We start from the raw sequence: 21,304 nt of genomic DNA, 5'->3' as shown, positions 1-21,304 counted from the left end.
ATGCCGGTGTGCTGCACCCGTTAACTCGTCATTTACATTAGGTATATCTCCTAATGCTATCCCTCCCCCCTTCCCCCAACAAGTATCTTTTTCACAGGGTAGAAACAGTCACAGTTGGGTTCAGACCCTGCAGCAACTGGGGCTCTGTGTTTCTCCTCTTCAGGGCTATCTGGATGGACATGAAGGGTTCCATCCTGGGATCCACATGGTTGGCTTACAGAGCAAGAAAAAGGATGGACAAGGCTCGGGAGAGAGGGCAGATGAGACTCAGGGCTGTGGCTGCTGTGGCCAGTGTTTACGATGACTCTGGGCTGCAGAGAGCTCTCTAAGGCTCTGGTGTTAATGTCCAGCTTCTGAAGTCTTGATTGCTAATTGCAATCCCAGGCATCTAATTAATCAATGGAGGATGGAGTGCCTTGGGTTGTGGGGTCTAGAAGAACTGAGTTTGAAGCCTACCCTGTCACTCACTGGCTGTGTGATATTAGACAGGTTGCTTAACCTCTCTGAGCATTAGCTTCCTGATCTGTAAAATGTAGAAGAACATATCTAGCTCTCATGGGAGTTAGGGCCATTTCTTTCAATGTGTTCCCCAGAAACAGACCTGAGATAAGGGTTCAATGCAAGTGATTTATTAAGGAAGTGCTTCTGGGAAACAGGGATGTTTGCAGGAAGCAAAGCCAGGGTAGCAGTTTCAGGCAATGTCCTGCTGGGGGCAGCCTCAGCTTGGTCCTGCAGGGAGCTCCGGGGTGTAAGTTGTTAGAGCCCATTGGAGGCAAAGGAGCTGGGACACCTGTCATCAGTGCCACCATGTGGGAGGAGGAAGGGAGCAAACTGCCTGGCCTTCCTGGCTGCTCCTGTGTGGGCAAAGCTGCTGGACCCATAGCCAGAGGGCAGGCTGCAGGGGTTGCAGTTGGAGACAAAGGCACACTGCTGCTGGGAGGGGGGCACACCAAAATGCACCAGCCCTCCCAGGGCATCTGGGCAGTGCACTGCAGGGCTCCTGTGTGATCAAATTAGAAAATGTATGTGAGATGTCTTAGCTTGGAGAAACAACAGAGATTTATTTCTTGCAGCTTTAGAGGCTGGAAGTGCAAGAGCAAAGTGCCAGCAAGGTTGAGTTCTTCCGGGTTGCAGAGGGCCGTCTTATTACATCCTCACCTGGCAGAATGGGGGCGAGAGAGCTCTCTGGGGTCCCTTTGATGAGAGAACTTTCCATTCATGTGGCTCCACCCTCATGATCTAATCGCCCCCCAAAGACCTCCCCACCTCCCAATACCATCACATTAGGGGTTAGGATTTCAACATAGGAATTTTTTTGCGGGGGGTGACACAAATATTCAGTCCACTGCATGAAAGATTTCTGCAAACTACGAAGTGGGATGCATAATGTTGGTGATGTTAGGCTTCCCAGAGCAGCAGTAATGACAGAGGGCTGTACCGGGGCAGCCCCCCGCCCCACTCTACTGGCATGAAACAAAAATGAGGAGGGAGTTTGTTTGACAAATTGTAATTCTTTGGAGGCAGGATCAGGCTAATTCTGGGGTCAGGTCCGAGGTGTTGAGCCTCATTGGTGGACAGTATCTGAGGCCATCAGAAACCAGCAGATAAGGCCAAAACCAAGGACAATGTGTCGAGCCAGAAAAGCTGAACCTGTGGCTGGACTCAAAGTTCAAGCTTCGAGGGACAAAGGGAACTGGGTGACAGCAGGGATAGAGTGAGGCAGCAGCCAGGCAGGAGAGCCCAGGATGGCCGAGGATGAATAGGACGGCCCCCTAGAGCTCCTCAACCTGGGGGTGGCCATCCCCATGTGGGGTGAAGGCCAGAGTGCACTGAAGGAGTATCGCCAACATCCCTTCTATGACAAGGGGCAGAAACCCAACTCAAACCGGTTCAAGTAGACGGGGAATTGATCAGCTTACATAAGGAGAATCAGATGTGGTTTGATCCACAGGGGTCCGGTTAGACCCAGCAGGAGCCAGTCTCTTTCTTCCCATCTCTGGGCTCTACTTGCTGCACCTCCACTCTCAGCAGCTTCTCTCACAGCGGTGAGATGGCAGCTGCCAAGACAGGCGCACATCCTCCTGGCTTTCCTTCCAGCAGAGAGACAGGGTCCCCCGTGCAGACTGCTTCCCAGTGCTCGCTTACAAGTCAGGACATCTGTGCTGCCTGCATCTGTCTGGTTGTGTAATCACTCCTGGCCCAGCCACTGGGATCAGGGGGTTGCAAGGTCACCACTGCCCAGGCCAGAGCCAGGCACACACCCTGCACATATCATTGTGACCATGGGGCATTCAGGCTACCAAGCCCAGGAGGGATCGAGTACACAGACTGCGGATTGTGGCTCCCCAAGAGGAAATAGCATGCTTTACCGAAAGGAGTGACAACAGATGCTGAGAGTCCAAGACCAGCATGCACCTGCCCCAGCAGCCATGTCTGACTTCTTGAGATAGGTGCTAGGGTGCTAGGCCCCAGCAGCACCTGCAGGAGCCACACAGGGAGGTGCCTTTCCCACTCAGAAGGCTCCAACGAGGTATAAGGCACCACCTGAGCATTCCCTGTGGGCGGCACTCTCCAGCCAGTGTCACCCTCATGCAGACTTTGGCTGGTTAACCAGGTGTCTTCTGAGACTTAATCTCAGGGGAGAACTGGGTCCTGCTGCCCCAACCATGATCATGACACAGGGACTTCGAGCCTGGACCATGAGTACCGTGGGGGCAGGAGCCAGGGTGTATCCTTGCCTGTCCAGCTCAGAGTAGAGACTCAGTGAAGGAATGGATGAATGAATGAATGAATGAATGAATGATGCTATTTCCAAAAGCACTTCTGGGACAAGACAATACTCTGTAAGAACTGAGTACAAAACTCTCTCTATCCAGAAGCTTGGGGTGGCCAGGCACGTTGTCAGGTCACCTCTCTGAACTGTCACCCTGTCCTGAGACACTGGCACCACCTCTCCCCTGGGGATAGGAGTGCCTTGATCATCCTCTCCAAAACCTCATGCCCCTCCCGCTCCAGCCCCACACTTACTTTCTGTTTCCCCCAACATTTGTCTCCATTCCATAGCGCATTCTTTCACTGTTTCTTTCTTTTGGTTTTTCAGAAAGTAAGGCTTGATCTTTATTTCTTTATTGGCTTCTTGTCTACCTTCCCTTTGCCATCAGCAGGGTGGGGCTTTGTTTTGTTCACTATACACCCTGAGTGTCTAGAACAGTGCCTGGCTCATAGCAGGTGCTCAGTCATTGCTTATTGAATGAACAAGTCGATGAACTTCAGTTTTGTTTTCTAAAAACTGGAGGCTTGTCTCCCTGGCGTTCTGGCCTGGAGTGCTAGGCTGGTTAGGAGGCGCCCCTCAGCCCCGGCGCATTTCAGCTTCTCACTATCATGCAGTTACAACCCATTGTCTTCATCTGATCCTTTGCCTCCCCCCACCCCCCACCACACAAGACAGAGAGTAGGTGCCCTGCCTGGTTGTGCTTGGGGCATGGGAGGGGCCGACACAGATCACCTGTTCAGAGGATGGAAAGCTGGAATGGAAAGTGCTTGCAAACCCTAAGGGCAGTGCGGCTCAGAGGCCGGTTGCTGTGGTAGTTAATATTATTTGTCTTGCTTGCGAAAGAGGCCTCAGCAGCTGGCGTGTATCAATATTAATCGTGGGGCCATCTCTGCTGCCTGGTAAGGCCAGCACCCTGCGGGAGCCTGAGTCACTGGAAGCCAGATGGAAAATCCCCAGCGAGGGCAGGCTTTGGAGACCATGGGTAGCAGGCAGCTAAATAAACAGGCAGCCCCACCAGAATCACTAAGGGGCCCATCTCAGCCCTAGAAACCCATCCCTCCCCTTCCTCTCCCCCTCCTCCAACCCTAAAGGCTCAGGCAGCTCTGGGGAGCGGATGCAGAGCTTGGCCATTCCAGCAGGCACCGAAGGGAGGCTGCGGTGTTCATCCCTGTCCCCCTCATTAGTTCATTTATGGAAAGCCTGACACTGTTATCCCTGGGCTGGGCACTGGGGAGGACAAAGGGGTGAGCCAGAGGAGGCATTACCCCTCCAAGAGTACACAGCTAATGGGGGACCGGCTCATCCCTAGGGGAGAGGAGCACCCCACTACCCACAGCATAACCAACTCCTGGACAGAGTGAAGAGCTGTGGTTGTTTGAACCTTTATTTCTTTACAGGCCCCACATTACAGATGGACATTCTGCTCCAGGAAAGCTGCCCATACCCTTACAATACCAGGGTTGACTAGGAATAGGCACATTGCATGAGGATGAATGTGTTTACAATCCTGATTGGTAAAACCAAAAATTCAATTAAATCAATTAAATGTTAGCAAGGAGGGTGGGGCAGGAAGTGAGGGACACGCTGTGGCCTGGGCTGGACTGGCTGTAGCTTCTTGAGACACATTCAGCAGCATTGGACCAGGGATGCCTCCTTTTCTTGAAAAACCTTGCTGCTAGCCATTTTTGCTATTTCAGAATGATGCTTATCAGTCTTGAGAACGCAGTCCTTTGGGCCATGTGAAAGCCTCTGCCATCTTTGCAAGGCACACGATTGGGAGGGAGACCCCACCTTATCAGCCACACTGGTGCAGGGCGGAGGTGCCATCCAGCGAGCGAGGGAAGATGCCAGAGGAGCAGGTTCGAGGGGCAAAATCAAGAGCCCCTTCCCAGTTCTCTTGCTGCCTCCCTGCTCCAGAAACTGCAGGCCTCTCTACTTGAGAACCAGCCCTGCTTCCCTATGGCCAACAGTGGCCCATGGCCCACCATGGTGCCCACCCTGACATTCAAGGCCCCTTTCAGCTGGCTGTATCCCTTCATCCTCAGCAGCCTCAGATCCACTGCTGCCTTGACCTTTATCCAGCCTGGTCTTCTAGCCCGAACCCCATGCAACCTCTGCTGTGCACCTGTTTCTGCAGATTCCATGCCAAGTTAAGTATTGCCTCCTCCAGGCAGTCCTCAGTGAGCTCTTTAGTTGCTGCCTACAAAGTCCATGCAGCTCTTGACATTATGGAACACCTTCTTGTTCTAACCCCTCCCTTGGCTCTCTTATCTGTTGGACTGTTGGCAGGCTAGGAATGGCCAGGCTCTGGTCTCTCCTCATCCAGCAGGCTAGCCTTGCTTGCATCCTCAGGGTTCCAAAGACAGAACAAAAAAAAGGCTTCTTGAGGCCTAAGCCCAGGACTGACCCAGAATCAGGTTTTCAGTCCTGGTTCACCAGTTACATGGCCTTGGGCAAGAAACCTCTGCATGCCTCAGACTCCTCATTTGTAAAACGAAGATTAAGTGAGTTAACATGTGTGGAAAGAGCTCAGAGCTGCGCCAAACACCTCATAAGTGCTATACGAATGTTTGTTACTATCAGTGAACTAATAAGGAAAATGATATGGTCCATGTTCCTCATAGTGTTGAAATGTACCGGGCTGGTCATTTAGGTATCATTCACTCATTCACAGAATATCGGATGTTTGCTAGGAGCCAGGCACTGTGCTGGGTGGTGGGGATAACACATTGAATAAGATAAGTTTGCTCTTAGATGGCTCAGATAGTTGGGAAAACTGAATGTAGCTTCCGTGATTTGATTTGCTACAGGTGTGATGATAGAGTGGTATCAGGAGGGGATAGGGAGGAGGGGACCTGTCCTGCCTCGGTGGGGCAGGAAAAGCATCAGAATGGAGGTGACGCTGGGGCTGAGCCATTTAAAGCTGAGTAGATCATCTCCTTTGCATAAAGCACAGATGAGAACCAGACACAGAGGAGTTCATGTTTTCTTCTTTTCTCTTTTCAGTTATCATAATAGAAAATGACAACAGCAGCAACGCTAACAAAGTGAGATTTCACAGATACATTTTTACGTCTTTTAAGGTTAGATATTTTTAATCAAAAGAGCACAGCGAAATCCTTTATTAAGAAAGAGTCTTCACTGTAGAGAAGTCAGTGATCGCATGGTGAAACCAGGTGCTTGGGTAGCAAAGGACTCCAAGAATAGTTAAAATACCTTTTATGAAGTCAACTGCTTACATTTACAAGTTGATCATGAAAACATCAGTAAGACACAAAAACATTTCCGATGCTCTCGGCATGAAGAATTGGTATCTGGAGAGTAGCAAGTTATAATAGTAAGGTTTCTGCAAAAGATTAAATAGTATAAAGAATATTAGTATGCCTTCAACTGGCAGAAATAGGACTGGGCACGTGGAAAAAGGTCAGAAATAAGAGAAGATGCAGATTTGCTCAAAGGCTGCTACCCAGCACTCCCATGCCCACCCCATTCCTAAGCTCTTCCCCAAGCATACTCTTCATATGCATTGGTGAGGGGCCAGGTCCCTGGAGGTCCCAGAGACACAAAGTTAAGGGTAGGGAAAAGTTCAGCCCCACACTCCCATCCACTTTGTAGGGCTTTCTCCCTCCAGTCTGGGGGTCCCCACAAATGCCCAAGATGGTGGAAACAGTCACATGGATTTCTAAGAGACCACATGACATGCTGGGAGTTGCAGATCACTGTCCTCAGCTCGCATTATTTGAACGCAGGGCAGTGACCATGATCACTGCTGCTGCTCAGAAGAGCTTTAATTTACTCAATGACTCACAAATGGGGAAAAGTGGAAAGCATGCATAGTTTCAGAATCAGAGATAGGATGGCCAGCACAGGGTCCCCTGACCTCGGCACTATTGGCATTTTGGGGCTGGATAATTCTTATTTGTGGGGGGCTGCCCTGTGCATTGTAGGATGTTCGGTGGCATCCCTGGCCTCCACCCATGAGATACCAATAGCAGTCCCCACCAAGCTGTGAGAATCAAAAATGTCTCCAGACATTGCTGATGGCCCCCAGCCCTTCCTTGAGAACGACTGGCCTCATGAAAGCCACCACTAAGTCTCCTAGTGAAAACTCGATAGTTAGGTGTCCTGGGCTCAAGACCCCTGTCTCCTGAAAAGCTCCACCTGGCAACACTCTCAAGCCTCTCAGAGATTCATTTTCCTCAAGTTAAAAGGTTGGAAGCTCCCTTCTGCCAGCATATAGAGCCCTTGTCAGAACCATCTGCATTGTTGGGACAACGCTTCGAACGGCAAACGCAGTAATGGTGTGGTTCTTTAAGAAACTGGGAGAAAGACAGCCAGTGAGACAGATACAGGGGACACAGGGGTGTTGCTCAGCCACGTGGATGGGGCTCGGTGTGGAATGGGCTCTGATTCCCCCAATAATCGAGGCCTGCAAATTCCCTGCAAATATGCTGTGCACATCTGTCAGGATTTATTTCCAAGGCAGAATGGGGCTCAAACCTCCTCTTGGGGAGGCAGGAAATCAGCTTGAAAAAGGACCCAAGAGCAGATGACAGCCTTGCCAAATGTCTGGATGGAGCCATCCGGGCAGGCGCGAGGCTGCCGCCACGGTCAAAAGACCAGCATCCAGAATCCCCCGGGGACCGCACCACCTACGCAGCCTCTCCGAGGACCAATGTCCACGTCATTCTCTGCTCTTTTCTATCTTGATAATAAATGCATGACTTCTACAGTGACTCAGAACACATCATACACTTTTATTTCAGAATTTATGGCGTCCATTTTGTGTACTTTTTGGCTCTTCCATTCTGCTTCTGGCAGTAACTGTTTTCTCGCTCCAGGGAGTCTTTGATCGTCTTCAGTCATGAAGATTTGCATTGTTTTGTCCTTTGTCACTTTCCCTCTTCCTCAAAAAGAAACCCAGTAAATGCTCAAGGTCTGAGCTCAGAAGGACGCGCTGGGAATGAGAAGGTGCTGTGATAATTCTGGTTATCCAGATTTTTCAGAGAGGTCCCTTTTCCTGCTTGGAAGCTGTGGGCTCTGTCCTCTGGGTTCTCAGTACTCAGTTCAACCACCTTCTCCTCCATCCCTCTCCGTGAGTGACCATGGTCAGGGGCCTGTGGAGTGGGCCAGGGTGGGTGGGGCTGGGGCAGGTGAACATAGAACATTCAGGATCTGGCTGTTCCCTTTGGCTCCCTGAGCAGAACTCCCTGGGCCTCCCTGTCATAGCAGCTCAGCCCAACCCTGGCACTTGCTCGGGGACAATCACTGGGCATCTGCCAGGACGAAGCAAAGCGGGCCGATGGCAGCTGCAGGGAGCACAACCCACCTCGGGGCTGGGGCAGGTAATCCCGGGCAAGCCCTTTGCTTCCCACTGAACGCACAACGTGCTGGACCACGGACCCCTGGGCCAGGAGCCCAGACACTTGTCAGCTCTCCACTAATTTTCCACACGGCCTCAGCTGCTCTCCCCGAAAAATTAAAGGTCTCGATTAGATGCTCTCTAAAGCCTCTTATCACTGTGAGGTTCTGGAACTGATAAATCCCTGTGCACTGCCGCCTGCCCCTTTCCTGGACTTACACTTGAATGTGGCAATCTGGCTATAAGCTCTTCAGGACCAAATCTCAACCCCAGCCTCCGAGGCCTCATATCCCGAGATGGTCCATCCCAGGGGGATCACCCTGGTGGGCATGATGCAGGGTGCCTCTAGAGCTGACAGAACTGGGTCTGAATCACAGCTCCTTAGCTGTGAGCGTTCAGCCCTGGCCTCAGTTTTCTCCACAGAAAAATGCGACAGTAATTAACGTGCATCTCTCTGCATCCTCATTCCTGCCCCCAGGGGCAATTTGAGAAGTAAATGAGACACAAATAGAGCAACAAAAAGATGTGCAAAACTGGCACCGGTAAGAATAATAACTGGGAATAATATTACTGCTAATAATGAAGGCAGATGATGCTTCTGAAGAAGGAAAGTGCCATTTGTCTTGCAGGGATCAGGCAGCAGTGCTGACAACAGACAGACTCCACTGAGCCTCTTCGGTCTCCAGGGACCCACTTCAGGAGACGCCAGAGTGGTCTGGCCAGCCTCCAAGCCTTCCAGCTGAACCGGGGCTGGAAAAGCATCTGCTGCCTTTCCAGCGAAATGCTGCTGCCCCTCCTCCCATCCTTTCTCCCTCAGATCCTGGGGGATCTGAAAGGAGCGAGAATCATTTCTCTCTGGGGGGTAGAGTGGAGCAGGGAGTCTTATTTGCCTCTTGACCTTGATTTCATGGGAAAGGGGAAGGACAGCATTGGCTTGGAGTAGGAAGAGCTGCGCCATCATCCTGCCTGGGTCCCTGGAAGCACAAGTCCTCTTAAGACAGGCCTGGCTACAGCGGCGTCTGGCCTCTTCTCAAAGACCTTCAGTGGTGGCCACTCACAACCTCACAAAGCAGTAAGTTGCTCTTTTTTTTTTTCTTTTCTTTTTTTTTTTTTTTGAGACAGAGTCTCGTTCTGTTGCCCAGGCTGGAGTGCAGTGGCACAATCTCAGCTCACTGCAGCCTCCGCCTCCTGGTTCAAGCAATTCTCCTGTGTCAGCCTCCTGAGTAGCTGGGATTACAGGCACATGCCACAATGTCTGGTTAATTTTTGTATTTTTTGTAGAGACAGGGTTTCACCATGTTGGCCAGGCTGGTCTTGAACTCCTGTCCCTGCCCGCCTCGGCCTCCCAAAGTGCCGGGATTACGGGTGTGAGTCACTGCACCCAGCCTAAGTTGCTCTTTTGAATCACCTAATTGCTTGTAGAGGAGCAATGGAGGGGCACACAGAGGGGTAAGCACAGAGAACATTCCAGAAAATGCAGGACCCTTTCTCTGAGGCACAGCTATGTAACAGGCAACCCCACCCAGGGAGAAGCCAGTACAGAGGCCCCAGCTAGAGTCTGAATGAGGACGATCCCTCTCCCCTGTCCTGGGGAGCCTGGGGTCACCTTGCAGAACAAGATGGTCCCAGGACTCTGACTCTGCACTTCTGGCTGTAGTGAGCCTCTTTCTACGTGTGGGTGCTTCTGCTGGGCTCCTGGGTGTTGGCCAGGGAGGGTCCCCTTCTGCCTGCATCCCAAGAAAACCAGTCTCTGGGAGCTTCACCGGGGCCTTCCAAGGAGACTTGAGTTCAGTCTTAAAGAAGGGGGCAGGCCTTGGGGACCGGCACCCCTGAAATCTGGGCAGAGAGAGAGCAGTGGGCGGGAGGTTGAGCATGTTCCACTCTGAGGACAGTCAGGGACCTGTGGAAGCCAGAGCTGGCCCAGGCCACACCATGACGGGCATCTTGAGAAACAGCCTCTGCAGATTCAGGGCCTTGTGTAAATGTGCCCTGGAGGTGCCACCCAGTCACAGAAGGCAGTACAGTGTGGCAGAAGGCAGTACAGTCTGGCTCTAGAGCCCAACTTCCCAGATTCAAATCCTAGCTCATCACTTTCATGCTGTGTGACCTCAGGAAGGCAACTTCACTCCTCTGAGCCTCTGGTTCCTCATCTGTGCACTGGGGCGATGATGCTGTGTGGTGATTGTAAGGAGTTAGTGTGCATGCAAGTCTAGTGGCACCTGGACACAAAACTTAAGCAGTGAGGACCGGCATCTTTTTCCCCTTTCCAAACTGCTAAGACGGACCCCGGCTGAGGCAGGAGGGAGAGTGCAGCTCGCTGTGGCCAGAAATCCAGCCTTTGCTCCTTAATCAGACACTAATGGGCATATCTATCTTCATTGTTATTTGAGAGATGCTGGTAAAAAAAAAGCTGATGAAGAAACCACAGGAGACCAAGATGGGGCAACCCCGAGGAAGTCACTGTAATCTGCAATGCAGAGTGGTCGAGGCCTCCAATGCCCTGGACCATCTACTGCTCTGACACTGAAAAGGGAGAGAGGCTTGAAAACTGAATTTAACCGACATTTATGTTAGGGCTGGAGGCTGAGGGGCCTCCATAGGGAAAACTGCAGCCAGAAGCACCCGGTGCCTGGGATGCTGGAGTCCTCTTCAGGGCTAGAAGCCATCCTTTTTCCTCCTGCCTTCTCCTCCCTTCACCGCAGCAAACACAGAACCCTGTCTCCCGACTGCCATCTCCATGGGCCATTTGGAGGCCAGGGAGCTGCCTCCTGTATCTTTACAGGGGTCAGGCCCTCCTAGGGATGTGGGGCCAGAGGGAAGATTTGAGCATGTGGGGCAGAGTGACTCCATGAGGACGTCAAGCAACCCCGCCATGGCTCTGGGCTTCTCGCCTTGGGTTTTCTCATGGAGACATCCATCTGTTAAAGATCTTGCTTATGGGGCAGACCTGGGGTTTGATGGAGAGAGACTTGCTGGAGACAGAGCCATTCACGCACACCGCGGCTAACTCCCCAGCCCAGCCTCCACCCTGCCAGTGATTCCAGGAATTCCAGACAGGTGGTCCATGTCCCTTCTCCCTCATTGTCAAGGGTCAGGTTCTTTTGCACTCGTGACCTCCCCTTAAGCTGATGCACTGGCAGATGATATACGGTGGCAGTGACAGATGTGATCGGTAAGAACTGGCAGCCATGAGCAGGCACTGTCTGGAGCCAGGCTAGTAATCCTATTAACATGGCGGCTTCCAGGGAAGAGTGCCGCTTCTGGACAACTAAGATGTCCCTTTGCCTGTCATCAAGAACACTCATTTCTCCTGAGACCACAGCGGCAAGTCCAGCTTTCTTGTAATTGTCTCTAAATATACACGAGAGCTTCCTAACCAGCTTTTTAAGTTTCTCCACTACAGAGGGTGTTATTGACACAATTCTTCTGTTTTTGCAGTGTATAAAGTGAGGAGAAAGCCTCTCTGGGCCTAGAGGTGAGTGAGCCCCCTTCTGGGACCTTTCCCACTCTATCTGCACTGGGATGCTGCCTTGGGAAGGTGTGGGGGGTGGGGGTGGGGGTGGTTCCTGTGCAATAAGATTTCCTAATGAAGAAAGAAAAGTGTGCCCTTCTCTCTGGTTTTTACTTGGAAGCTTCCTTGCTTGCCAGGACCCCAGATGCTGATATTTCAGAATTTAAGGAAGTGGCTTGGGCAGAAGCACTTTCACAGCTTCAGGAGAATGCACGGTATCCACACTGAATGTAAAGGACGGGTATCTGAGCAGCCTGCCAATCTCGCACCCACCTTCAAGATGCCTGGACATTCTCCTGAGGGCAGCTTCTCAGCAACCTCCTCAGGGAAGTGCTTAGTTGGGGCAGAGAGCTCAGTGAGCTGAGAGTGAGGACACATCTTTCTGTTCCGACTCCTCCACAAACCTGCCTGGTGACCACAGGCAAATCACCCCCCTTTCTGACCCATCCGTTGAATAATTCAGTGGATGTGAATCTTGTTCATCTTTAAAATTCCACGATTCCTCAGAGAAGAAACAGCATTCTCACGTGGGTGGCCTGAAGAGTCCACTGCCTGGCACATCTAGCTCTTAAAGACATCCTCTCCTCTTCTTAAAAAGAAGAGAAAGTCCGACCAGGAGATAAAAACCACCAACAACACCCCCAGAAACCCCACCTATTACCAGTAACCCCCCATCCCTGGGTCTCCCAATGCACTTGGGTCTTGGAAGGGACCAGGTGTCTGGTGGCAAAGGTGCCATTTCAAAGTCAAACTAGGAACATCCAATGGCCCTACTAGATGGCCAAGGGACTGAATGTGAAACCAGAATTGGGTCAGGAACACTGAAGTTCTGAGGGCTGCTCTTGCCCCAGCACCCCACGCCCTAGGTTCGATAAGTTTGCATAAAAACAAGACACACGAGTGATTATTTACCACCAGCAAGCGATCATCAAATCATGTCTATGTTTTAAACTTAACTAGCTGTCTCATCTGGTCCCATGTTCCTGGAATGTAGTTTCAAGGATCCCCAATCTGCCCTCTGAAGGCCTTGCCCCGTCATGCCTCTAGGGGCAGGAGGCCCATACTTCCATGTCTTCTGACTCAGCTTGACCACAACATGGGATATTTGAAATCAGGGCTGCTGGGGAGAAATTCCAGAAGGACGGCCGCCGCCCCTGGTCAAAACTCCTGGTTCTAGAACACAGGAGAAGCCAAAGGCCGACAGCAAGTCAGAGCTACGTGCCAAGCCTCACCCCATGGTGGTGCAGGGTGTGCCGTCCTCAGAAGGTGAAGGCATACACCACGCCCACCACCACGATGTTCCCCAGCGTAGCTATGATGGCAATCCATAGCAAGACGGCGTCGTTGGAGGACCGAGGAGGATCTTCCGGCTGGCCCTGGCCATTGGCAGCCGCGTGGACATTGGCAGAGGAGTTAAACAGGGAGTACTCGGTGCTGAAGTCCTCGTTGGGCGAGTCCATGAAAGCTCCCCCCATCATGGGCAGCTGCAAAGAAGGAGAGAGAGAATTATCCAGGGCCATGGGGGCTTGGGCAGATGTACCCTGCAAAAGGGAAGTGGTCTGGTCAAACAACCCCACATGAAGCTACGATCTCTACTGCACCTGCAAAATGGGGCTTTGCTTTTGTGGTTTTATCATTGATGGTAATTTATAAAAATCAGTGTTCACAGCAGCCTTTTGAGGCAGACATTCTCATGCCCACGCTACTATGAAAGCATCAAGGAACTCACCCAACAGCTAGCTGGTGACTCACCAGGACTCACAGCAACCCCTCCAGCCATTCCCCTCCCCCCATGCCAGGCTCCTCCATAACGATATGGGTTGTAAAATGCCTTCATTCCTCTTCTAATTTTAAAAATAATATATGCTTAGCATAGAACCCTAAGAAAATATAAAACAGGATAAAAAATGAGAATCATGATCCCACCACATAATCAGTGCTAACATTTTGATGGTTTTTCTTTCCAATCTTTTTTTCCTCTGTGTGTGTGTGTGTGTGTGTGTGTGACAGAGAGAGAGAGAGACAGAGTGAGAGAGAGAGACAGAGACAGAGAGAAAACACATTTAAACGTGTTTTTTAATCCCTGTTTCAAAATGGCCATCAAAATTCCATTTTAACAATTGTGTATTATTCTATCATGAACATAAGCCACAGTTTAACCACTCCCCTAGTGTTGGAGATTTAGCAATTTCCACTTTTCCTATGATAAATGATGCACTGATCAACATCCTTGTACATCCATTAGCATGTACATGCATCATGGTACACACATTGTTATCTATTAGGGCAGACTCCCCGACACACAATTTCTGAGTCAATGAGTATGAACACTGTATACCTTCCGGTGGATAGGAACAAATACGCTAGAAGAGGTTCCCTAATTCCCACCGCCCACGCCGCACATCACTGCACACGGGATGCCAGAATGTTTGCATTCATGAATCAGAACTTCCTATTTCTGTTTTTAAAGGTTCTCTGCTGCTCAGACTTCAGGTGGGAGGTGGGGTGCTCCAAGGGAGGGGGTGATCCCGGACACAGCAGTGAAGAGGAGGCCCCTTCCTGCCCCAGCCCAGGAGGCCCATGTCCAGGCTTCCCAGGCCCTCTCCAGAGGCAGAATATGCATGTGCATTCCTGGGCTGGCACTGACACCTATTTGGCCCATAATCAATGTTTCTTTTGAAGGGAACCTGAATGAATGAACATGACACAGTGAGGCCTGCATCGGATGCACAGTTACCGAGCACCGCATGAGACAGTATTCTGTGTGGAGCTCCTGCTATGGTCAGGGGCTGTGCTAGAGACATTAAAATACTCTCAATCACTCAACAATCCTGGTGGAGGCTAATACTGCAACCCCATTTTACAGGTGGATAAGCAGAGGTCAAGGCCATAGCACTAATCTGTGGTGGTGTCAGGGTTGAGTGCCACGAGTGTCTGACTGTGAGCCCAGGCACTCCCGGCTCTGCATGCAGCCCCATGGGCTTCAGGGTCAGGCTCCTGGAACATGAGAGGCACACACGTGCCTGGGCAGCTGCTGCTCAGAAGCTCTCTGGCCTGCCTTGAGTCTCAGTGGCCTCCTCTTAAAGGATGACCATTACCAGGTCACCAGGTGGCCCTTGAGCATCTGCTTCTGATGGACTCCTGCCAGGAGGCACTCGGCACCTATATTCCTAACATGGTGCTGTCCTTGAGGGGATGGAATAGGGCAGTTATTGACCTAGAGAGTGCAGTGACTGGAAAGGACTGCTATGGGGCTCAGGGCAGGCCAGGTGCAATTTCTGAGTGGGGGCTGCAGGTTACCATGCTGTGTTCACCCCTCGTGGGGTACATTTTTATATGAGTACTTCTTATATGTATAACATATTCTATTACTATATTTCAATTAAATATAATGACCAATGCAAACAAGAATATTACAACAGTTTTTTATGCTAAAAATACAATTATAAGTGTAAATAAAAGAATTGCAGGTCAGATGGGGTGTGGGTGCATCAGACACATGCCAGCCTAATGGGAGGCTTCCCCTTCCCCAGGCGACATCATCGGTGCCTTTGCCCAACCTGTCCACAACAGAAGGCCTCCAGGCTAAGGTAAAGCCACCAACATTTGCTGGTGGCCTCTTGGAAAGCAGGCTCAGTGTGAGAAGCTGTGCTTTTTTCCTCTTGGGCATGACGGGGGCTGCAGGGGATTGTTCTGCCCCCACATCCCCCCGCGACCCCTGCCAGATTCCCAGGAATTAACCAGCGTTCCTGTCCCTTCCCACTCATTGCTTCTTGTCTCTTCTCTCTCACCAGGCCCATGCTGCTGGCTGCTCAGACAGATGTCTCCCTGGACTCCACGAATGGGATCTGAGCCACTCTCCCACCCTATGGAGCTCTCTGGGCATATGTCCTGTCTCTCTCTTCTCTTTAGGGCAAATGTGAATGAGATGAGTATTTTCATCCAAATCACTGGGGAAAGAGGAAGGGAACCTGGACAGAGCCTTTTGTAGGGCTCCCGCCAACCAGGCCATCAGGTGGCCCTTGAGCACCTGCTTCTGATGGGTTCCTGCCAGGAGGCACTCGGCACCTGTATTCCTAACATTCCTGCCAAACGGGTCAGGGTGATGCCCTCCAGCCTCTGCACCCCTCCCTTCTCTGCCTCCCGGCAGGTATTTATTTAATAGCTTTGCAGGTCAGTTTCCTGTCGCTGCTGTGACTAATTCCCACAAGCACAGTAGCTGAAAACAACACTAATGTATCATACAGTTTCAGAGGTCTCACTAGACTAAAATCGAAGTGTTGGCAGAGCTGCACTCCTTCTGGAGGCTCTAGGGGACAATCTGTTTTCTCGCCTTTCCCAGCTTCTAGAGGCCGCTCACATTCCTGGGCTCATGGCTGGGCTCATGGCCCCTTCCTCCATCTTCAAAGCCAGTAGTGTAATATCTTCCAATCTCTCTCTCTCATCTTCCAGCCTCGCTCTTATAAGGGCCCTTGTGATGACATTGAGCTCCCCTGGCTAATCCAGGCTACTCCTACCATCTCAAAATCCTTAACTTAATCACACCTGCAAAGTCCTTTTGGCCATGAACGGTAATCCATCCACAGGTTCTAGGGGTTAGGACGTGGACATCCTTGGTGGGGGCATCACTCTGCTGACCATACCCCAGACTTCCGTTCCAGAAAGGAGTCAGGATGGTGTGCATAACTGGATGTCCACCTCCCATTAGACAGAGAACTCTTGAAGGCAAGGATATGGTCTACTCATCACAAACCCCCTCAGCCCCATCCTTAACATACAAAAAAAGTGACAAGTAAAAGCATGCAGAATTAATGAACTTGAAATCAGCAGAAGGGCTCCCCACAGGCGGTACTTCATAAACCCCAATCCTGGAGCTCCCAGCCGTGGGACAGGCCTCATGGGGAGTCCCCTTTGCCCTGCACCTGTAGTGGGAGCTCAGAACTGCCAAAGAGGATGGTCAGTGTGGGACGGATTCTGCTGTCTCAGAGCGTGGGAAATGAGGGTGGGTTCTGGTGTCAGAAAGGCTTGGGGCTGAATCCTGCTTTGCCACATATGGTGGAGCTTGGGTGAGTTACTTACCCACTTGCCTCAATTTCCCTTCTATAAGTAATGAAGAGAATGCAGTCCAACCAGCGAGATTGTTGCAAGCAGTGAATAAGATCATGTATAAGAAAGCATGGCCCAAGACAGTTACGCAATGATTACCAATATTCCTTCCCTCTGTCGTCCTTGTAGGACAGTATCACATGCATCTCTTATCCAGCTGCTTAAGCTAAAGTGAGGAAATCAGGAACACGGCATTTCTGGTCATGTGCTTTTTGTGTGATCGATAACCAGGTACTCATTTTCAGTTGTCAGCAGATGGCCACCCGTGCCCCCTAGTGTATGCTGAGACAGGCGGCTGAGAGGTGCTCCAAAGCTGGTCAGCCCTGTTGCTCCATCCATCTGTCTCAGGTTTGTTGGTTTTATTTTGTTTTGATATTTTTTTTCTTTGTAAAATAGGTTCTAAATGGAAAGTGCTGAGTTAGACATAACAATAACTTCCAACAGCAGAATTCCATGACTCAAAAACAAAAAGTCAGTCTCAATTCCATCATTTGGAAGTTACAAAAATTTGATCAGGAGCTGGCTTGTGGTCAGAATGAGGGGTGTTGGCTGAGGTCATCCTGGAAGCAGGTGATGAGAGAATGTCACTCTCAAAGCCCACCCGACCAGCTCCAGTCTACTTTTAGCCACTTTTAAAGATGCCCTTCTGGTGGCACGCCACTGCTGGAAATGAGCAACAGGGTTTTCTCACGCCAGTGGGCAAGGGTGGCCACTGGCCTTCAGAGAATGGGATTCTTGGATGAGGTTTTGACTCAGAGCAGATTTGGGGGCGTGAGCCTAACCTTAAACCCTAGAAAAGCTACTGTGCAGAAGACAGAGTGGCTTAAGAGGGCAGAACAAGAAAACTAGTCTCTTCTTGCTGAGTTAGACACTGGCAACCAGGACAACACAGGGTGACCTGGGGGGCGAGGGGGGCTTGTTTCCCTATCGGAGGAGATATTCACATCAAGATTAAAAAAAGAAACAACAACAACAAAAAAACATTTGTTGGCCGGGTGCGGTGACTCATGCCTGTAATCCCAGCACTTTGGGAGGCCAAGATGGGAGGATTGCTTGAGGCTACGAGTTCAAGATCAGTCCGGGTAACATAGTGAGACTCCATCTCTACAAAATATAAAAAAAATTAGCGGAGTGTGGTGGTGCACACTTGTGGTCCCAGCTACTAGGGAGGTTGATGTGGGAGGATCGCCTGAGCCCAGGAAATCATGGCTGCAGTGAGGTCTGATGGCACCACTGCTTTCCAGTCTGCGTGCCAGCGAGACCCTGTCTCAAAAAAAGAAAACAAAAACACTTGTTGGCTTGTTGAAGACAGAAGGCTGTATTTTCTGCCTACGCTTTTCCGAAGGCAGGGCTCTTCCACAGTATCACAGTATCCCCAATGCCTAGACCAGAGCAGACACTCAAAAAATATTTGGTAAATGAATGAATCCTAGGACCATCAGTCAAGAATCCTGAGGGCGTGATGAGATTTAGCCCCAGGGCCAACATTGCCTCGTGGTGTGATCTAGGCCCACTTCTTAATCTCTCTGAGGCAGAGGTTTCTCAGTTAAAAACAGAGGAAATAATAAAGACAGCCGTATAGAAGGGGGCTGCTGGGAGGTTCTTAACACTGGATGAAAAATGCTTTCTAGGGGAAAAGGCAAGTCACAAAATAAACTCCGATAGCATTCTTGAAATCAAAAACATGCATGCATAATATGACCATGTACTATGCATGGATTTATACAAATGTTAGTAAAAGTACCAACTTGGATTGTGAAGCCAGATTCATGATCGTGGCTGCCTCTGGGAAAGGGGGAGATGGGACAAAGCAGACTGATTTCATCTGCAGTCGTTTCTTATAAGGAAAGACAAGGCAAACATGATGAAATATTATAAATGGCCTATTCTGGTCAGTGGGTATACGAGTGTCTGTTATTTTTTGGTATTTTTGAACTTCCTAAAATTAAGAGCAGTGCTTTGAGCATTGGAGTGCACCAAACGCGTGATGGTTATAATCAGTTGTGGCCGTGGGATTAAGTGCTCTCTGAATTCAGAAGGGTGCCCCAGGCTTGGGGTCCCTGCCCCGCAGTGTCGGGGCACCATGTAGCATGGGGTGGCTGAGTGCGATGTGGGGTGTTCCAGGTGGTCCGGGCCATTGTGGAAAATGGGACAGCATCCTCCAGGGGCCTCAGAGGGCCCTGCCTTCCCAACAGTCTCCATGCTGCTCCAAGGAGTGGGGTGGCCTTTAGGCCTCCACCTGTTCCTACTAAGGAGGTGACCGTTATATAAATCTCCCCTAAGCTCCACCTCTACAGAGAAAGGAACGGAAAACGGTTTCAGAAGGAAATCTTCAAAGCGTGGTTATCAGAGGTGACCCCAGCAGGCCTTTCAGAGGATGGGTAAACACAAAACAATAGAAGGGTGATTGTGATGGCTTGTGATACGGGGGCCACCAGACCCTCCTCCATTAGATGCAGTCTCAGTGCCTGTCTTGGCTGAGCCCGTTCTGCAGCAACCTGGCCTCGAACAGTTAGAATCTGATGCTCCTGGGCTATGAATTTTAAAGTTAAATTTGTGTGGGGGTAAAGACAACCATGTCCCCAGTGGGCTGTGCTGCTCCCACACTGCTCTGGGCCTGGAGACCTGAGATCTGGCCCTGCTCCAGCCCTGCCCTGTCTTGGATCCTTACACACTAGGGAGTGGCTTGGATGGGGTGACATCTAAGGTCAGAAGTCCCTGCCCAATACTAAGAAGGCTGAAGTCAGTTATAGACGGGCCTAAAGTGAGAGTCTGTGTGGCAAATATTGCCATATAAACCCTTCAATAAAATTCTCAAACAAAATTTAAGATGCCTACTTAAATTCGAATTTCAAATAAACAACACAATTTTTAGCATAAGTATATCCCACATATTAGCATAAGTATATCCCACATATCACACAGCCTATACTTATCCTAAATAATTATTTGTTGTTTATCTGACAATGAAATTTAACTGTGCATCTTTTATTTGCTACATCTGACAACTCAATATGTGGCTAATCTAAAAACTAGCAGCAATTTCAGAATTTGTACAAGGGACCACGCCTTCAGTTTTGTCTCTTCAGAACACACCATCTGTGGCCCAGGCTCTCTGGGGGACCTAGCACATCAGAAAATTCCAGAGAAGACTCCACTTAGTGTACAAACATTCTAAAGATAATTTCTCTCATCACTAAATTCTCGCAGGGTCTCTGTGGTCTAAACATAAAGGCTGGACAGATTTGAATACCATCCATCCATCCTTTCATTATTCATTCAACAAATACCAAAGGCCCACTTGCACCAGGAAGACCAGGAAGTGATAGACAGACATTAGGCACACCAAGGGTTACTCATGACTTCGGAAGGGCTCAACATTTAAAAAGAATATAGACTGAAACACACACAGTCATAAAATGGTGTCATGTGCACTTTCACAGAGAGAGGAAAAAGGTGATGGGATTTCGACGGGGTGAAGACATTTCGGCTAGAAAGAGGCAACACAGGTTGGGATTCATTATAAGAGCTGCAGAATCAGGCATGAGACTGAGCTCCTGCGTGGTTCCTTTTTAGCTGTATGATGAGGGCAAGTGACTAACCATCCAATGCCTCAGCTTCCTTATCTGTAAAATGAAGATAAGAGCAGGAACCACCTCCTAAGGTGCTATGGCGTGACAGAAACTCACAGCACTCGGCTGTACGTGTTCCATGCTCGTGAACTGTCATTGTAAGTTTCATCCTTGCTGCCTGGCCCCATGACTCCCAAGGCAGAGAGCTGGACCTGCTGTCTCAAGGTGTCTCCAGAGTGGGGTCTCTTTTGATTTTCTCCATTTTCCACTTTTGGGTCTGGTTTATTTTATGTGGATTACACTGGGAACGTAAGAAAGGAAATGGAAGGTGCATGGCTAGGTACACGCTGATCCCCTCATAAATGTCCTCTGACGGGGAGGGCTGAAGCCCCACAGAGCAGGAGGGTCAGCAAAGGGTGGAAAGCACCTGAGTTTTCATTTCCCATTTGTGGACTCTTACAAATCAGCAGGAACTGCTGGGAGGCTGGGCTCTTAATGGCACAGCGGCCTCCTGAGCTGGGGCGGGCAGGACTGCAGGACCGTGAACAGGCAGGCAGGTCCTCCTGAAGGGATGGGTGGTACCTGAAGGGGTCCCAAAGGGAGATGTAAGATCTTGGTGCCAGCCCAGTCTGCCTGCTGGACTGGGCCACTTCTTTTGCTGGATCTGTTCCCTGTCTCAACATGAGAACTCCTGCCTGGGACCCACAGGACCATTATGAAACTAGGAGAGTATGAAAAAATGCTTGCGGTGCCGGCACAGATAGAGTAAGCCCAGGCAAGCTCCAACAAGCAATGGCCGAGGCCCCTGGCAAGAAGGCGGCAACAGCTGGCTCGGGGAAGGAAGATAAACCTGGAGAAAGACAGGCATCATGAGCTTACTGGGGTTTTTGCCTTTTTTATCTCCCAGGACTGAGCACAAAAGCTCTAGAAGAAACCCCCTCTCTCTAGACAGAAGACTGAGAAGCCAGGCTCCTGTGAGC

The 21,304-nt window shown here is 50.3% G+C and overlaps 1 protein-coding gene and 1 long non-coding RNA gene across 5 annotated transcripts in view, besides 5 other annotated features; both read right to left on the bottom strand.

Annotated features, from left to right (window-relative positions):
- Positions 1-607: 607 nt before the first annotated feature.
- LOC124903374 (uncharacterized) lies at positions 608-3,819 on the bottom strand. Its single transcript, XR_007064321.1, has 2 exons — positions 1,920-3,819; positions 608-1,000 (listed from the first exon to the last, which is right to left on the bottom strand). It is a non-coding gene; the product is annotated as an uncharacterized LOC124903374 (long non-coding RNA).
- Positions 2,180-2,681: an enhancer, noted in NCBI's record as "H3K4me1 hESC enhancer chr14:96563297-96563798 (GRCh37/hg19 assembly coordinates)". NCBI's record gives its function as "activates a minimal SCP1, AML or CMV promoter by ChIP-STARR-seq in primed H9 embryonic stem cells {active_cell/tissue: H9 hESC(primed)}" and the evidence as "EXISTENCE:reporter gene assay evidence [ECO:0000049][PMID:30033119]".
- Positions 4,131-4,631: an enhancer, noted in NCBI's record as "H3K4me1 hESC enhancer chr14:96561347-96561847 (GRCh37/hg19 assembly coordinates)". NCBI's record gives its function as "activates a minimal SCP1, AML or CMV promoter by ChIP-STARR-seq in naive H9 embryonic stem cells {active_cell/tissue: H9 hESC(naive)}" and the evidence as "EXISTENCE:reporter gene assay evidence [ECO:0000049][PMID:30033119]".
- Positions 4,632-5,132: an enhancer, noted in NCBI's record as "H3K4me1 hESC enhancer chr14:96560846-96561346 (GRCh37/hg19 assembly coordinates)". NCBI's record gives its function as "activates a minimal SCP1, AML or CMV promoter by ChIP-STARR-seq in naive H9 embryonic stem cells {active_cell/tissue: H9 hESC(naive)}" and the evidence as "EXISTENCE:reporter gene assay evidence [ECO:0000049][PMID:30033119]".
- Positions 5,670-21,304, bottom strand: part of C14orf132 (chromosome 14 open reading frame 132) — a 54,610-nt gene continuing 38,975 nt past the window's right edge. For 3 of the 4 annotated variants that reach the window (NM_001289139.2, NM_001282463.2, NM_001252507.3), the window contains one exon: positions 5,670-13,130. In NM_001289139.2, the coding sequence (NP_001276068.1) occupies positions 12,906-13,130 (225 nt within the window). In that variant the 3' untranslated portion in view covers positions 5,670-12,905. The remainder of the gene's footprint in view (positions 13,131-21,304) is intronic. The other variant, NM_001282464.2, reaches the window with a different exon arrangement.
- Positions 7,299-7,468: an enhancer, noted in NCBI's record as "experimental_38841 CRE fragment used in MPRA reporter constructs". NCBI's record gives its function as "activates a minimal promoter by MPRAs in K562 erythroleukemia cells, with activity observed for both the introgressed and non-introgressed 14:96558595 variant alleles {active_cell/tissue: K562}" and the evidence as "EXISTENCE:reporter gene assay evidence [ECO:0000049][PMID:34662402]".
- Positions 12,418-13,617: an enhancer, noted in NCBI's record as "CDK7 strongly-dependent group 2 enhancer chr14:96552361-96553560 (GRCh37/hg19 assembly coordinates)". NCBI's record gives its function as "activates an origin of replication core promoter dependent on BRD2, BRD4, P300/CBP, MED14 and CDK7 cofactors, with strong dependence on CDK7, by STARR-seq in HCT116 cells {active_cell/tissue: HCT116}" and the evidence as "EXISTENCE:reporter gene assay evidence [ECO:0000049][PMID:35650434]".

Source organism: Homo sapiens, chromosome 14 (genome assembly GCF_000001405.40).
Source record: "Homo sapiens chromosome 14, GRCh38.p14 Primary Assembly".
Lineage (NCBI taxonomy): Eukaryota > Metazoa > Chordata > Mammalia > Primates > Hominidae > Homo > Homo sapiens.
Note: the sequence above shows the minus strand (reverse complement) of the source record. Positions and strands in the feature narration are given on the sequence as shown.